Consider the following 18,973-nt stretch of genomic DNA (forward strand, 5'->3'; position numbering starts at 1 on the left):
ACTAGTCCAGGACTCAAGAAAGAAAGCAACACACTCTCAGCAGTGCAAACTGAGCCAGCCTGTGATTTGCAGCCAGTGGAAATGAGGTGATTTTCAGGGTGAGGACATAATGGCGTTTTTTTGGGGGGGAAAACATCTCAGCTCTTCAGATAAGAGAAAAAGAAACCAAACCTATCTAAAATATTTCCAACTTTGATCCACTTACACTTTAATGCATTCAGAATAACTCTGCTTGTTCAATAACGCTTGTTGACTTGCTGATGGAAGCGTTCTAAGGCCTTCAATTATATTCTCACTGCCTGTTTCTTTTACCTTTGATAGCCATATAATCACAGTCACAAATAGGATAAAGGTCTGAACAAAATATATATGCATGTCAAGCACTTTGCAAGGCTTAAATTATGCGTTCTTCACAGTTTAAAAACAAATAAGGAAATAAATGCATTAGCATTGCAGAGTAGAAATGCATATGAATGCAATTGATGGTAATTCTCAAAAAGACCTAAGGGAAATTGCTGAAATTTCAATTTTAGTATCCAGAACAAGGACCGCACAGTGGGTTGAGGAAGGCTGTTATTAACTTTGTCTTTTCAATTTTTCACACACGAGAAGGAGAAGCTGTGAAGAATCTCCGCTTGCCCTCTTCAGACGTAGGGTAAGTTCCTTTTTCTTGATGATTAAGCACTGTAATTACAGACTTTCCCCACATCTGTTCCTATATATTCCTGGACTCCAGATCTCACATCACTGTCAGTCTTTCCTGGTTGGTAGAGAAGAATACTTGACATTTCCTATTTTACAAATTTGAAATGTTTAAAATGAGGTCAGATAAAATTTGGTATTAAGTTAAAGAGCTCCTAATGCCCACTTGCCTATTGCAAGAGAGTCACTTTTTCCCATGGGGATTGTTAACCTGAGCGTGCCTAGAATCTGGGAGTGTGTATTTCCAAGAACTTGGAAATAAGATGGGCAGGTTGTAAAAGTCCAGCGTTCTCCACCATATGTGCCCTGACATCTGGCCGTCACGTCCCTGCCCCGCCTCTGCCTGCACACACACTATCTCTGTCTGCTGTGGGGACCAAGCAATTGTCACAGAGGAGAGAACAGGAGATCGCCTTTCCCTCACCCATGGTCTATAGGCCTGGCTCCCCAAGATATACTTTTTTAAAAAAATACTTGCATTTCTTTTTACACACAAGTGCTCACAACCGCACACAGACAACACTCCCCATGTCATGCCTATGGCCTGCTTGCTGCAGCTAGAATGAATCCTCTCCTAGGACTGTGAGTGGGGTCACCTCTTTCCCTGTGTCATCTCCGAGAGGCTCTGTGAATTTGTGCTCTAGGAGCACTGCTACTGCAGACACTACAGATGTGGGGAGTGAACAAACTAGCAGCTCACAACTCTCCTGCCCCCTGGACCCCCTGTGGAGGAACCTGGGCTGTCTGCTTGCAATAACTATGCGAGTCTCATAGCCTCCCAACCCACCCGTCTTATTTCCAAGTCCCAGGGAAATCCCTCCCCACCTAGTTTTCTGCCACAAGAATGATTTATACTAAGAATGTCCATCATCTTCTCTGCATAGAGACGACCTGCAGACTCTTGGTCACCCCTGTGTACTCCAAGCTGCAGCAGTGACCGTGGTTTGCCCAGGGCCACATCCTTGACATGTGCAGGTGCAGTCTCTGCAGGAGGCCACAGCTTTGTGCCAAAAGCCCACAGAGTGTGGAGGCTAGGCTGGTGGCATCACTCCTACCCCTTGTCACACTGCGGCTAGCTTGGGGCAGAGTCGATATGTGAAACCAGGCTTCCTCTGGGTTCTGAACAATTTGTAAAATAAGAGGAGGGAAAAGGTACAGACCAAGATGTCCCCTTCCCTGTCGATACAGGCCAGGGTGGCAGCAGCTTGCTGTGAGAGCCTCAGGACTTAGCTGAGCTGCAGCTTCAGACTTTGGCTGACCTATTCACCCATCACAGAGATGGCCACCAAGGCAGGCACATGTGGACACTACCAATGCAGCTGGCAGCATAGAGCCGCTAGGGAAATCCTTCGTCCTTTGAAGGCACTCCCAAGAGGATCCACAGCAGAGCTGAGATGAACAGCCCTAGGCTTTCTTCTGCATCTTCTACTAGAGACATCTCAACCCCTTCTCAATGCTAAACGTAAGCCAAGGCAAGGAGGAAGGCTTGCATGCTAAGGGTGAGCTTGTCACCTGAAGTAGCCCAGAGTGGGGAGGAGGTGTCCCATCTACCCACTCCTGTGTAAAGTAGCCATATGAAAACTGGCCCAGGACAACAGGTGATTTAATTGTTCACAATTTAGTAGCTCAGAAATTGAGGTTGGGTCAGCTGGGTGGTTCTTCTGCTCAACTTGCCTGGAGTAACTCATGCCAATGGTTGTCCAGTGGTTCGCCACAGCTGGGTGGACACATAGAGCCTCACTGTGGTGTCTGATGGGGATGCTGGCTGTCAGCTGGGTCACGTGGGTCCTGCTCGATCAGGCATCTGCCGAAAGCCAGCTCAGACATGTTCACTCGGCTATTTCATGGCAGCAAGAGAGGAAGCCTAGAAGTTCAGAGCCTCCTAAAGCTTACAGTCCAAAGTCTCAAACCATCAAAGCAAGTCCTAAGGCCAGCCCAGACCTGTGAAGGTGAAGAGACAGACTCTGCCTGTTGACGGGAGGAGCAGCAACATCACATGTGGTCAGGCACACACACGGGACGGGAGGGCTGTGGCCCCATCCTGTGCCTGGACCACAGAGCACTTGTGGCCAGCTCAAGGCAAATGTAAGTGTGTTTGTTCCATGGCACAGGAAAGACAGGAGAAGGAAACTGGAGACAAAGAAACACCCTGGAAGTACTCCTAGATGGCCATGTCCAGTGTGTGGACAGTTAACAGACCCCACAAGGGCTTTGTACAAGGAGCAACACCCAACTCTCAGAGCCCCTGGAAATATAAATTTGTGTCACCTCGATGGATCAAGAAACCTGACAATCTAAATAGCTACTTGAGAACAAAGAGAACACTGACTCTTACTGGGAAAGAAATATTATAAAGACTCTCATGATCTGAGGATGAGTCATAAAAATTGAGATTTCAATTCATTTACTTTCATGCATCATTGTGTGTGTGTGCATGTGTGTGCACGTGTGCTTAAACTAGTTTGCCATACTTATTTCTGCGTCTTTCCTGCCATTTTATATAGCATATGTGGGAGATAATTACATTTATAATCTAGTCTGTGAGTTTCATAATATTAAAAAAAAGATTCTGACAGTACTCAAGGATAGATAGCTAGTCCCTAGAGACCTGATACTGTGCACATCAACTTACAACACATTGAGTTGTCTCTCCTTGTAGACAGGAAAAAGGAGTGTTCAGTGGATAAGAGAGGACAGTATTAGTTCTGGTGTAAGCAGCTGTTTTGAACTTTAACTTTGGAAAAAAGAATGGCTGAATGTTAAGCAGAAGTGGAATCTGTGTAGCACTGACCATCAAGCACACGAGTGTGCACATTCCTTCCTGTCGAGGAGACCTCTTAAGGTAGATGAGGAGTATGGTCCACCTACTAGGGCGCCATAGCGAGGGCCTTTCTTCTCCCTATACCTTGGCGTAACAACATGGGCTCATAGCCTGAATAAGCTGCTAAGACGTGTGTTCTGTTACCTCGAGTGTGAGGGGTTATAAAGGCATAGGGCTGACTTGCTATGCCTTCTGAGGAGTTGAAATCCATGGTGATGAGCGCCCAGAAGAGCATGAAAACAGCTCAGCCATGAGCGGTAGCAAGACCCCAGCTGGCCTTGACAATACTTTCGTTTTATGCCTAAAGTATTTAGAGTTGGTTTTGGTTATTTACAACAAAACATAGGGCACAAAGACAAAGACACAGCAATCAATTCTGAGCTTCACACGTGAGATAGGGATCAAGGAAGCGTAAAAACAAAGAACATGGCAAATGCGTGCAACCGGTGGAAATTACTTGTTTTGTTGCTCTTACTCAGTTCTGAAATCAGCAGTAGGATCCAAAACTTTTTGTATTAAGTATTCACATCCTGATAGCCACTTGTGCTTTATTTGCCTTTATTGCTCCAGAGACATACAAGGGTAAAACAACAGAAGAAGATATGTAAATTAACCTTTGGTTAAAAATTTATCATTAAGAAGAGAAAAATTACATTTTCTATGAAGATATATATTGTCAACGTGTGCATGTTTATATATGATTATACTTAAATTAGGTAAATATTTTGAAAATAAGACATTTATTTTATTTTCAATAATTGTGGTAAGAATAATGAAAATCAATTATAAGAAGTTTTCTGCTAACATGTAAATGAGAGATTATAATTGAAAATCTTGATTAAAAAGTATCACTTATTTTTCCATAGAATTTTTGAATAGCATCATAAAATCCTCTAGGAATTCTCAGAGAACAACCCTGTTACAAAAAGCCTGTTTATGTTTTACCCTTTCTACATTTTAAGTGATTCATTCTTGCAAAGCATGCCTTTACTGCAGTTCATTAATTTTTAGAATCTATAGGTTTGTAGAACTCAATTTCCTTAATCATGCATGTAAAATTAATTATTAGAATTTTTTATTTTGCTGATTTCAGCAACTTTGTGAAACTACACAACATAGCCCTCAGCCAAATATGTGGCATCTAGCAGAAAAGGGAAAAATGATTCTTATTCTTTCTTAAAATGAATTTTCTGTTTCAATAACTTGTATTCATATCATTAGGGAAAACATATTACTTTATTTTCTTTTGTTCATATTTTCAGCAGCAAATTGGAAATAACATTTGGACCCATTCTCAAATATGTAACTATATCATGAGTGATGTAATTGAGTTTTCTAAGAACCTAGGCCTTACAGGTATATGCACTTTAGTTGAAGATAATTTTAAGTAAATCAAGCAATTGTATTAGTCATTCCGTTTCCCATTAAACACAAAATTTTAGAAAATATAATATAGAAATTATCACAAAAGCACTGTAACACAGAAAAATAAAATGTTACTTGGATCCAGGTGTAGTCCTAATTTCTCCACCCAAGGACTAATTACATAAAATTCTAGTATGTATGATTTGGAGATTTTTATTTCACTTAATACTCTTTTTTTAAGAAACTGTTACTTTGGGTACAAACGCTATAGAGAAAAAATGTGAATGACAAGGCAGCCCCAGAGGTTTTGTGTGAAATCCCTGTGTAATCTCAGCAGCGTGTGGAAGAGCCTTCTAAGCATTAGACGAGGCAAAGCGCATTTCTGTGTCTTGACCCGAGTCTTTGCCAACAAATGTAAGCTAAAGTCTCCGCAGCCCACGCGTCTGCACTCCACAGCTCCAAAGATGGGAGGGTACCCACTGCCTTCTCCTGAGACCTCCTCTTCTGTGACCAGGAGGAAAGGAACCAAGTCCTGGGCTTGAACCAGGCCTCAGTTCCCCTGACGAAAAGTGAAGAGTGCCTTTTATCTCACCTTCCAACCTGAGTGAGCTTTGTACAAATCAGTGTAAGATTGGTGTGTGCTTGTTTCTGTAACCAGAGGGTCCTGTGTATCCTTATCTTTTTCTCTCTTAAAACTTTTATAAAGATATCTTAGAGAGAAGCCTTTTTTGTAATGTGTACTCTCTTGCACTCCATGCATCAGAGCTGGGAATATAGAAATTCAAGAAAAACAAGGAAAGACTCCACGGGATTTTAAATTTTAATTTTGTTAATTTTTAAAAGCCACTGAGAAAGTTTGTATATTGTCTCTTCTAAATCTCATGTTGAATTGTCATCCTCAGTGCTGGAGGTGGGGCCTGGTGTGTGGCCTTCTGGTCATAGGGGTGGATCCCCCTGGCTTGGTGCTGTCCTCACAGCAGTGAGTTCTCGTGAGATCTGGTCCTTCGAAAGTGTGTGGCACCTCCCCCTCTGTCTCCCACTCCTGGCTCTCCCTTTGTGGGATGTCAGCTCCCACTTCACCTTCAGTCATGATTTTATGCTCTCTGTGGCATCCCCAGAAGCTGAGCAGATGCTGCCTCCATGCTTCCTGTACAACCTGCAAAAATGAGGCAATTAAACTTCTTTTCTTCATGAATTACCCAGTCTTAGATATTCCTTTACAGCAACACAAGAATGGCCTACTACAGCCACCTAAGATTTCCTGCCTTCCCTTCACCTGAACGCACAGGGGCAAGGTCTGGAGAAGATTCCAAATCCTTCCCGATCCTTGCCTGCTGCTATTTCTCTCTGCTCACCTGGAGGAGCTCCCAGTCTGATAAGATCAGGACTTGGTTTTCTGGGAATGATGGAAACAAGAGGACCCTATAACTTCACTCTATTTCCTTCACTGAATTGTCTAGAAAGGCAATTTCCAGATTTTTTTTTAAAGGGGGGAAAATGTAAGATCTGACTTGTAATTGTGTTCAGGGGATTTTTGTTAGAATCTCATTGATTCTGCATCTAATTTAAAGCTGGAGTATCTGGAAAGGCTTGACCCTTGACCTTTATCCCATCCTAAATTCTTCATGAGTTTAAATTTCTCTGAATCTTACACTTAGCCACATAGCCTAAACCAAAATAATGTGAAATACTATAGACCACACCAATGCTCCAACTGAACTCTGAAATGACAGAGTTGCTGAGTCAGCTGTCCACTGAACTTGTGCATTTATTAGGACATTGAATTTTTTTTCTTAAATATTATAAATAAATGCTAAAGTTCTTCACCTAGCTGAGTGTGGTGGCTTACATCTGTAATTCCAGCACTTTATAAGGCCAAGCAAGGCATGAGGATCGCTTGAGCCCAGGAGTTTGATACTAGCCTGGGCAACATAAGAAGACCCAGACTCTACAAACAATTTAAAAATTAGCTGGGCATGGTGGCACATGCCTGTGGGCTACTCGGAAGGCTGAGGCAGGAGAGCCACTTGAGCCCAATTCAAGGCTGCAGTGAGCTATGACTACATCCCTGCACTCCAGCTTGGGCAACAGAGTGAGACTCTGTCTTTGAAAAAAAAAAAAAAGAAGAAGAAGAAAAGAAAAAAGGAAAGCAATGATGTCATAGGCTAGAGATGACACCAAGATGGTAGACCTCAGCCCGAGTTGTCATGAAAGAGAGAGCTGAGGCTCCCACGGCAGAAACTTAAGAAGGTTTGAGAAGCAAGGACTAGCAGTAATCACAAAATTAGAAGACAGTGAATATTTGAACAGGACACACTATTTTGCATATTTTTCGTGCCATAAAATAGAATTTCTAGCATCCTTCATCAACTGTGATATGACAAGAACTGAGAAGAGTCTGAGATTGTACCCTACTTGAAAGATAATAAATTAGCTTGCTACAGTTTCGTGGATGCTGGCAAAAAGACAGGAATGAGAGTCCTGGGTCAGAGATAAAGGACAATTTGTTGTTCACAACAGTAGACCGTGGCAGAGCATCAGTGTTGGTTTTAATGTTAGTTCCCTGAGCCTGGTTCCCACAAGGAGAGTAGAAGGGGACCAAAGGACACTTGTACCCACATCAGATTGTCTCACTGTAGAGAAGCCCCAAGTTTAGGGACCCTCAACCTTTTAAAATGAACAGTAAGCATGGCTGGCCTTTGCTCCAGATGGAAACTTTATTTGGCTGCACAGTATGTAAGCTTCGCTTTACTCCAGAAGTGGACACTATCACCATTTTCCAAAGCTGTTTACTAAACAGTCATCCTCGAAAAGATAGTCCAGACCAAAGGGAAGTCAGTGCCTTTGCAAAACATGCAGAAACACAAGAGCCTCATGGAGTACTGTCTCCCTCCCTGGAGGAAGAAAATGTATACACAGGTCCACCCATCCAATGCACTTTTTTTTTTTTTGAGACAGAGTCTCTCTCTGTCCTCAGGCTACAATGCAGTGGCATGATCTCAGCTCACTGCAACCTTCGCCTCCTTGGCTCAAGTGATTCTCTGGCCTCAGCCTCCCGAGTAACTGGGATTACAGGTTCCTGCCACCACGCTGGGCTAACTTTTTCTGTTTTTAATACAGATGGGGTTTCGCCATGTTGGCCAGGCTGGTCTCGAACTCCTGACCTCAGGAGATCCACTCCCCTCAGCCACCCAAAGTGCTGGGATTAGAGGCGTGAACCATGGCACCTGGCCCAAATGCACATTTATTAACCACTTGCAATGAGTCACGAGCCCTGCTGAGCATCAGGTGCACAGTGGGGACAAGACAGACATAGTCCAGTGTCATGAACGGTGAGGATGGTGGGAGGTAAGCTGAAGCTAATTAAATTCTGCCAATTATTACTCACTGTGTTCATAGTATTTTGTGTTATATTTTATTAGTTTAAGGACGTAAATAATAAACTACTTCTAAAGGATTTAATGAGCTTACTGATATATTCTGTTATCCAATTCTATTTGCCTGATAATATGCGGATTTTCTCAAAAGAAAATCTTCCTACCATATGTATTTCAGGACCACCATCTTCCAGATTTTGAAGGGAGTATGCTACTTGAGTTTATTTCATAGTGTCTTCTGCCATAGATCTCTAATTCATAATTCAGAGAGTTTAAAACTGTGTCTGTTGTTACCAAGCTATTTTGGTCCTTACTTGAATGCTTACTGCATAAGCCCACTCAAATTAGTAGACATAAAAAGATCTAGCACTTACAGAAGTTTACAAAGTGTGTCTCCTATGTCTTTGCAACAATCTTAGAGAGATGATTATATTTATTTTTCTATTATAGGTACCTACACTCAAAACATAGAACAATTATACTGCCTGACCATTATTCCTGAGTTCAATTTGATCATAAAGGTTACATAAGTGATTGAAAATAACACAACTTTCTCTTCATGTTTTCCAAAAATGCCATCATACCATTATAGCAATACTATTTTATTTTCTAAATTGGATGCAGTTTTCTTAACTATTATGTAAAAATACTAGGGAAATATTTCAATACACATTATATATTTAAACAATTCAGATACATTTGATTTTCTTTCATATTAACACGGGTTGAGGAACACTGACTAGTGAGGCTTCTACCCACATCTAAGAACCTAGCAGGCCAAATAAATAGTTTTTAGGTTTTAGGTTTTATTATTCTTAACAATTTGAGTGCACAATAAACTTTTTCAATGAAAGAACAAAATACCAGATAAGTGTAAAACAGAGTTCCCACGTATAGCTATATTAATATTCTCTCTGAATTACTTTATATACTTTATATAACTTTGTTATATGAAAAATGTTTAATGGGCCCCATCTTACAGTAGGAGGAAAAGCACTTGCCACTTTTCCTCCAAGTGACAAGAAGCAATTTTGAAACATCAAAGACAGAAAGCCAAGTGTAGATGTTTTCTTCTGCTGGAAGCTTCCAGTCCAAGCACATAGTTAATCAGGTGCATGTTGATTTCAGGGCACTGGGTCATATTCGCGCTACCTCCTCGTCTTCCCTTCCCACTTTGAGTTTACGGATTGATTTTACACATGTGTAGCAGATGAGGTCCTGGCAGGAAAAGACAGAGCATTCGAACTGAATAGCAAAGGATAGTTAATAAAATGAAAATTTACCAAGATTGGACAAGTTTAGGAAAACATGGATGATGCAGAAAACCAGGACTAGTAAATATCCAAGGCCATGAGGACCCAAGGCCCACGAGAGGAGGGGAAGAAGGCAGCTACCAGGACCTGAGGGAAGGAGACATGCAGCTGGGGGGCACTGGCACAGCCACAGTCTTAGTGGGAGGGCGCTGGCCTGACCCTGCTGACCTCTGCTGTCCCGCAGCCCCCTCGTGGCCCACCTTGAGCCAGAGGCCCATCCACAGAGATAGGCTCCCAGGGCACAGAGCCAGGGGAGAAGGGTGGGCCATGAGCCCAGGGGGTGCAAGGGGCCCGCATCGCACCTTGGGTCCTCCGTCATCCCTTGAGGTGGGAGCTGGGCGGGCCGCTCACTGGACAGATGGATCCACCAACACAGGGTCTGCGATACCAGGCAGAGGCCGCTGGCTTAAGGAACTGGGCACAGAGCCGAAAACCAAGTGCAGTTCAGGAGCCTACACCCAGCTCTGAGGCTGGAGAGGGGCAGGGACGTGACTTCAGACCCGGGAGCTGGGGATGCATTTTGCCTGCAGTTTGCCTCCCAAGGGCATATCACGATATTATGGGGCAGAGTGGAGCTGTCTTCACAGGCTTGCACAAATCAGTGAAGAAGGCTGGTTGGAAAGAGAGGGTGAGAAGCAAGGGGGGGACAGCTCTGGGGAGTGAAGCAGGAAGGTCAGCCCCACCGGCTCACCCCTCCCTGTTGGATCCCCTTCAAGTCAAACCTGAGATCTTGAGCTGGACACACACTGGAGGTAAATGGGGTGTGCAGGAAACACTGATGCCCCGGCCCCACCCTGAGACTCCGCTTTCATTTGTCTGATGATTGCAATATTCAGTGAAAACACTGATGCCCCTGCCCGTGCCCTGAGACTCTACTTCCATTTGTCTGATGATTGTAATATCCAGTGAGGGTGAGAACCAGGGACACGGCTCTTGGGTTGGTCTGCAGCCCCACCCTGACTTGGGGTGTGAAGGTTTGAGCAGCTCTGGCCAGAGCCGGTGCAGTCCTCACACACCAGCCACACTTTCCCAAGCCATCACTCGGAGGTGATAACTCATCGTCAAAGTTTCCCACTAATTCAGACCCTGCCTTAAAATCCTCATCCACACAGACCCAGTACTTACAAACCTATGGGATCAGCGAGACCAGTCTGTGATCTTACTGCTGTGTTAACTCCTAATCCTCCATTCCATCCCCTTTCCATGCCGAGTCACCCTCGTCACACAGCGTGGATACAGGAATGCTCTTTCTTGGGGAAACTGACAAGACAGGATCATCAAGGAGAGGTGGAGGTGCTCCGATTCTCTGGTGCTCCCTCAGATAAGCATGTCCGTTTGGTGTCGTCCACACAGGCAGCTGCAAGGCAGGGCAGGAAGAGTTGCAGAGACATTCCCAACCCAGCTCGAGGTGAGATTTGCAGCCAAGAAGGCCCAGGTCCAAGAGGCGAAACAGCGTCACTGAGCCAGGAACCAAAACAAAACAAAGCAGTGATTCTTTCCAAATTTGCCAGCAGGATAAGTTCAAATAGAGAGAATTTTCTTACTCCTAGGGGAGATGTTTAAGGGAATTCCTCCCCATGGAAACCATGAAAGAAAGAAAACATCTTTCTCTAACAATAAATTTCTCAATTATCTTATGTAGATGTATGTAACTTGGCAATTGAGGGAATGTTAGTGATTCAACCAAATGATGCCAAAATCCCAGAAGAGTTGTCAGAGAACAGTGTCCAAGTGGACTTGAATAAGCCACGCCCTCAGGACAATGGGTGGAAATGCCCCAAATGCCACCAAGAGGCTTTCGTTGAGAATCCAATGAGGTTTGACTCACCTAGTAGTTACACTTCTAGGAAATGTTCCAAAGAAAAACATTCAAAAGTGTGCAAAGCAGCTTACACAAAGAAAAGTTCGTCAAAAAGCTGTTTATTCATGCAGTCAGATAGAAGGAGTAAGTTCTAGTGTTTGAGAGCACTGTAAGGTGACAATAGCTAATAATAACTTATTGCATATTTCAAAATAGCTAGAAGACTTGAAATGTTCACAACACAAAGAAAAGATAAATATTTGAGGTGACGGATGTCTAGACACCCTGATTTAATAATTACACATTGAGTACATTCATCAAAATGTCACATGCACCCCATAAATATGTACAATTATTAAGTAGATCAAAAAATACTTTTTATTATATTAAAACAGGAGAATGAAATGGGGAACTGAGTAAGTCAAATAGTGAAATAGGGAATTGTACCTTAGAATAGGATGCTGTTTTCAAATGGGTTAATACATGTGTGCATTTATGTATCAAAACCACGTAGGTCACAAAGCCAGTTTTGTTAAAAACCAATTATTTCTGGTATGTGGCAGATTGAGCGCTCACTCAATAGCCACGTACCCACCAGCAGGCCCTAGTCCTTTTGCACAAAGACAGAGCTGGGATAGTGCCAGCCAGCAAGCTGGGAACTGAAGGAACACAGCGAGAATCTCATTGCTTCTTCCATTCCACTGCTGCTGTCAGAGGCTGCAGGTGGAGGTGGCAGAAGGTCAGGAAGGAAGCAGCCTGGGTCCCCAGGTTGCCTCCGGCAGAGCAGCACTGTCGGGAATCACAGGACACTCTGGGAGGGAGAAGCACTGACCCAGCACAGTGTGAAGTCACTGAGATTTCAAGGAGAATTTATCCCCATCACACAATCCAGTCCCTCTTTATATGGAGAGTATATAAATATATGTATAAAAATTTATTGCTGATAGTTATCTCTGAGGGGTAGAATTACAGATTTTTTAGGTTCTTCTCTACTTTTATGCATTTTACATTTAAAAACTAATGCACATGACATCGTATGGATATAAATGCAGTATGTATATTTTTAAATGCATTTGATTGTTGAATTCAAGGTAAAAAGGCCCTCGGGAATGGCCATGTGAGAGGATCTCAATAAACATGTGAAAAACACCAAAGAATTGATAAATTATTCAGTTTACACACAGGAGAAATGTAGACACAGTTAAAAGACAAGTATTTTCTAACGGCATGCTGTTTCTCTTCAAAAGGAGTTTTCTAGGAATCACAAAAACGTTGCCAACTTTTCTCATCCATTCCAGCTGTAACTGATTTGAGACGCTCAGATTTTGATTGGTGGTTCAAAGATTCATAGCATCAATTTGTAATTTTATTGCCACACAAAGGCAATAAAATTCTTGGAAATTTTTAAAACATTCAGCATTTTAACTGTGAACAGATATAAACACAAGTAATATTTTCAAATTGTATTACATATCATTGACGTGAGGTCACTCTGCTAACGGATATGATATGAAATACGTATGCAACATTATACTTTAATCTAGACATACCTAGCTAGCTTCTGTAATGAACTGTACACACCCCCTCCAACTTGAGATCTTACTTATGGTGAAAATCATAAAACTCTTTTCCCTCAGTGTCAGTAATTAACCATGTAGAAGTTCTTTATGAATATCTGCTGCAGAGAAGAAACATTAGGCGATTGCGAGTCTGCCTTTTACAAACTGCTAGTACTGTGTATGACAATAATGTTGATCACCTGATCAAAGGTAAAAAATGTGTATCTAAGATCGTAATGAGTGAATACATACAAAATTTAGGACGGACAGTTATGTAGGAAGGATACACAGTTTTTACATCAGGAACCAATGATTTCAATTTGGAATTAAGGGTAGTCTTCACTTAGCCACATGAAAACATAGACTTGGTTTCTTTTCCCCCTTGGGGGATAGAATCAATGGTAGCATTCATTAGAAAAAGAGCAATTTAGAGTTAAAGATCGAGTTTGGAATAACTTCTGCACTATTTACTGTTGGTGTGAAACTCAACCAGAGGTTGCACATTCCTTTGAGATGAGGTTAGAGAAGATGCCGTTCTGGTGTAATCCACTGGAGAGTGGCAGGCACTGGGGAACCACGTGTGGAAGACACGGGAATTCAAATTTAAAGTATGAAAATACAGCTCAGACTTAAAGACTGCAAATCCAAGACTACAAAGTGATGTTTAGGTTTTAACTTACCTAAGTTAACTTACCTAAGTAGACTTACCCAGAGCCACCTTACTCTGCTTTAAGAGAGGAAGAGAAACAAGTTGTTGGTTAAACAAAATATCATAGTAACTTCATATGAAAAAAATGTGATAGTGCCATATGCACTCATAGAAATGATTTACAAGATATATTGCGAATCAGGAAACATACATATCCACGTAGATTTAGCCCATACACATTTGTCTGAATGTAGTCTATGGTAAATCCTTATAATGCTGGTCACCCATAAGTAGGAATTGGAAGAACAGTTAAAAAGTGAAAAAGTTATCTTTTCTGCTCCTCTCCCTTCTTCCACCCTCAAGTAGAACCCAATGTCTGCTGTTTCCTTTTTGTGTTCATGAGTTCTCATGATTTAGCTCCCACTTATAAGTGAAAGCATGTGGTAATTGGTTTTCTGTTTCTGAATTAGTCTGCTAAGGATGATGGCCTCTAGCTCCATCCGTGTTCCCACAAAAGACAGGATCTCATTCTTTTTATGGCTGCATAGTATTCCATGGTGTGTATGTACCGCATTTTTTTTATCCAATCTGTCATTAATGGGCATTTAGGTTGATTTCATGTCTTTGCTCTTGTGAATGGTACTACAATGAACATTCATGTGCATGTGTATTTATAATAGAATGATTTATATTTCTCTGGATATATAGCCAGTAATTGGATTGCTGGGTCCAATGGTAGTTCACCTTTTAGCTCTTTGAGGAATCACCATACTGTTTTCCACAATGATTCAATTAATTTACACCCCCACCAATAATGTATAAAATGTTCCCTTTTCTCTGTAACCTTGCCACTATCTGTTATTTTATGACCTTTTATTAATAGCCAGTCTGACTAGTGTGAGATGGTATCTCATTGTGGTTTTGATTTGCATTTCTCCAATGATCAGTGATATTGAGCTTTTTTACTTAATATGTTTGTTGGCTGCATGTATGTCTTGTTTTGAAAAATGTTTTTTCATGTCCTTTGCCCACTTTTTTAATGGGGTTGCTTGTTTTTCTCTTTTAAATTTGTTTAAGTCCCTTATAAATGCTGGATATTATGACTTTTTTCAGTATATTAATTAACTTAAAAAATAAAAGGAAAGCCTACAGGAAAAAAACAGCCACTCATCTGTCTTCAGTCTGAGTCAATCACATCCATGAGTTTAATTCAGACCATGAGCCACCAATTCACATACCTGAATTCTTTTCTAAATCTCAATATATTTGTTTTTTACATGGGCAGCCATTCCTTGCTTACCTGATAGTATTATTTCTTAATCAAATATAAATAATGTGCAATAGATAGAAAACACTTTTAAAGTGTAAATAATTATGTATTTGCAAAAGATAAGGGTGTGTCATCTGCAACAGCAACAATGTTACCCTGACCTAGCTCCCTGATCTAACTCTGGAAAACAGACAATACATGTGACACTTTCTACTTCGAGACTTTAGCATTAGTGAATGCGGGACATAAATATGGCACAGAAATAGAAAACCCGAGAAGCTACAAAGCCTACAGTGTCTTTAACTTGGGGGGTCCTCGCGTGTTGTCTTCAGTTTCTGGATTTCTTGCTGAGAAGTTAGTAGGAATCCCTGCTGAGCTCTTTCTCTTTGATTTTTATTACTGAGATTGAAGCTTTTATTCACACAGGCAGATATGATAAAAAAAATTACTGAAGAAGTGAGCAGTGAATGAGCAGATTGACGGGTCCTCCCCATCCTTCTGTTCCCTGTGGTCAGTTGGTCTCAGAAGCCCCTCTCTCTATGAGGACAACCACCCAAGCAAGCTGCCCACAGGAGGCAAAACCCTTGTGGATGATAGGGATCAATACTGTCTCACCAGCTGTCACTCAGTCACAGGACTCTGTCAAGATCCTCCAGCTGGATGCTCGTTCCAAAAGCTCCGTGTCTCACCCAGAGTCTTCCGCTTTGGCATCATGGAATGAGTGAAGAAATAGAGCAGCTACCAATGCATGTTCTTTTTGGTGTTGTTGTTGTTGTTTGTTTGTTTGTTTTTCTTGAGACAGGGTCTTGCTGTGTCACCCAGGCTGGAGTGCAATGGCGCAATCACGGCTCACTGCAGCCTCCACCTGCCAGGCTCAGGTGATCCTGCCACCTCAGCCTCCCTGAGTAGCTGGGAGTACAGGTGTGTGCTACCATGCTTGGCTAATTTTTTGTGTGTTTTTTTCTTTTTCATTTCTTTCTTTTTTTTTTTCAAATGGAATCTCACTCTGTCATGCCCAGGCTGGAGTGCAATGGCATGATCTTGGCTCACTGCAGCTCCACCTCTTGGGTTCAAGCGATTCTCCTGCCTCAGCCTCCCGAGTAGCTGGGACTACAGGATTGCATCACCATGCGCAGCTAATTTTTGTATTTTTAGTAGAGACGGGGTTTCACCATGTTGGCCAGGCTGGTCTCGAACTCCTGACCTAAGGTGATCCACCTGCCTTGGCCTCCCAAAGTGCTAGAATTACAGGCATGAGCCACCATGCCCAGCCATTTTTTTTGTGTTTTTTTGTAGAGACAAGGTCTTGCCATGTTGCTGAGGCTGGCCTTGAATTCAAACAGTCCATCTGCCTCTGCCTCCCAATGTGCTGGGATGACAGGTGTGAGCCCCGCACCTCGCCCCAGCGCATCTCCTACTAAGTTCTGTAGATCACAATGAGCTCTTAGTCAAAGAAAGTTTGGAAGAGGACAATACAAGAAGTAATAATACTACAAAGATTTACACATTTTTCTCAGTTCCACGTCCCACATTTCTTAATGCCAAGACCCCACAGCAGACACAACTCTGTGTGTCTAGATGCAACATGGGAAATAGAAATCATATGAAGTTATGGAAAAAATCCCAATCAGGAATTTCGGTCAGAGGTCTGATCACGTTTCTGTCACTGAATTCCGAAGGGGGTGGTTAATTTCCTCTTCTGTAAACTAAGAGGTTTAGAATAACAGGATCTCTTTTCTTCCTTCTCACTTCTGTTATCCTCTGTCAGACTCTGTTTTAATTTCTAATATTCTAAATTCACTTCCACCTTTCTATACCCCAATACGTTCTATTGTAATATCTTGATACTAATTCATATTTCAAAATATCCCATATATCGGATCATTCCTTTAGAAATAATATTAAAAATCTGTGACACCACCACGATCTCTGATGATACCAACAGATGTTTTGAACAGGGTTGGCAAATGAATTCCTGTGGCCCAAATCCAGCTCTCTGGCTGCTTTGACACCACAAGGACAGCTGACTAGTGTTGATGAAGATCTTAAGGCCAACAAAGGCTGAAATATTTAGGATCTGGCCCTTTCCAAAAATGTGTGCCAACCCCTGTTTTAAATGATCAGGGCATCAGTGTTACTTTGTCTTCTCTAGGGCTGATGCTATGAGTTTAAATTGATCTCACCTGTTTGAGAATTGGCAAACCTCATTCTGAATGCGGAGGTCTGGAGTTCAGTGATTACCCAAAAGAGACCAACACAGCTGAAAAGCTTGTGCTCAAAGGTCCAGCTTAGAGTTTCCTATTCCTAGCTGCATGGGTAAATAGCTTTATTCTCCTGTGTCTCGATTCTCTGACCTGGAAAATGGGTGTCATAGCCACACCACCTTGTAGGATTCTTTTGAGAATCATATAGAATAATGTATACACATCTATAGCACAGTGTGAGGCACACAGTAGAGGTTTAAAGTTGTTAGTTTATTTCTCATTACACACACACACACACACACACACTGCACATGCCACCTATTTAAACAGAAAGTGAATAATCTCCCAATCACATAGGATTATGACATTAAGAAAGCAAATGTACACTCTTTTTTTGAGAGTCTCAGGAACAAGTCTGTCCTGGCTTTGTTATCAGTATATCACCCCTGAGTCAGATGAGTTTCGGTACAAGAGAAATCAAGAAGTAAAACTAAAGAAAAAAATTAGACAGAAATTAATGCAAAAATATGTGTAAAGACAAGACAGAAAATATTGTTGTCTAGTACTATTTTACATTAGGCTAGAAAATAAGTTAAGAATTTAAAGAAGCAAATTGTACAGAAAGTCTCATTATTTTATAGTGACATGGCATTCTCTACCTAATGAGCAATTGCATTTGATTCTTCACAGCAAAAAGTACAGTAATTGAAATGGAAAGACTTCAAATATAAGATAAATTCTGCATGTTGATTCTTGTAAAAGTAGTAATATTTTTCTTGTTGTATACACTGAAGATATACATTCTAAGACAATAAAAGAGGAAAAAACCTAAAGAACTTTTAAAAAACACTTTTAGGAATGCTAAAGACGTGCCTTGCTTTTGGCTTCATTTATTTTTATTCTTTAAAACAAGGTTTTTTTTTTATTTTCAAATATGACATAGTCATTGTTCAGCCACACCCAAGCACAGTACCATTTGTTGTCAACCATATCATCAATTTCATTTTAATCTTCCCTGAGTACTGAAGTAAAACATGCTGAGCCGTAGCTTTCCTTTGCTGTGGCAGGAGAAAATTTACTAAGCACTGTTGCCCTTTTTCCTGTCAGTTTTCAGACCCACCTTCCCTCGAGAGCAAACCCCTCTGCAGTCAGGAGGCAGCTCTGTGTCTGGGAAGCAGGGTATGTCACAGTGTGTGCACCATTGATTAACCACGAAAACAGTAATGGAACTGCCATTGATCCCTGAAATGGCTCCTCCGAAATCCGTTAGGACATCCAGAGGGTCACTACTCATGTTCCGTGGCAAGGATAAGCTTCAAGCTCTCTGACTGCTTGCTAACTGCCATCTGCAATAAACTGCTTACCTTTGCATTACCACCTGAACAATTGCCTGCCAGAGTGGAGTGTATGGAAAATAGATAAAGAAGCTTCCAGACTTTACAACTGCAGGAAGAATCATTTGCACGACTGGGTTTGAGAATTTTCAGTCTGGAAAATAACTGTCCTGTACGTCAGAAAGTATAAAGTGACTCCATTTCAAAGTTCCAGAGTCGAACAATAAAATATCTGGCTACTCTTATATGACATTTAATTTTTCAAAGTACTTTCATATTTTCATTACTTGCTTATTTCTCAGGAGTGCATATAAGGGTTACTCCTAAAAATGAAGAAAATCATGATGAAACCATGACTAAAAAATATTAAATGACTATGTAAGTGTTACTAAAGGCAAGACTCTGAGTCAGCTCCCAAGCCTCCCACCCACTCATCTGTTTATCCACCTGCCCACCCACATACCCACTCATGCACCCATCAATCCACTCATCCATCCATCCGTCCATCCATCCATCCATCCATCCATTCATCCATCCATCCATCCACTCACCCATCCATTCTTCCATCTATCCATCCA

The 18,973-nt window shown here is 41.7% G+C and overlaps 2 annotated features.

Moving 5' to 3' along the window:
- Positions 2,200–2,701: an enhancer, noted in NCBI's record as "H3K27ac hESC enhancer chr10:2714425-2714926 (GRCh37/hg19 assembly coordinates)". NCBI's record gives its function as "activates a minimal SCP1, AML or CMV promoter by ChIP-STARR-seq in naive H9 embryonic stem cells {active_cell/tissue: H9 hESC(naive)}" and the evidence as "EXISTENCE:reporter gene assay evidence [ECO:0000049][PMID:30033119]".
- Positions 2,702–3,201: an enhancer, noted in NCBI's record as "H3K27ac hESC enhancer chr10:2714927-2715426 (GRCh37/hg19 assembly coordinates)". NCBI's record gives its function as "activates a minimal SCP1, AML or CMV promoter by ChIP-STARR-seq in naive H9 embryonic stem cells {active_cell/tissue: H9 hESC(naive)}" and the evidence as "EXISTENCE:reporter gene assay evidence [ECO:0000049][PMID:30033119]".

The sequence above is a fragment of the Homo sapiens genome, chromosome 10 (genome assembly GCF_000001405.40).
Source record: "Homo sapiens chromosome 10, GRCh38.p14 Primary Assembly".
Taxonomy (NCBI): domain Eukaryota; kingdom Metazoa; phylum Chordata; class Mammalia; order Primates; family Hominidae; genus Homo; species Homo sapiens.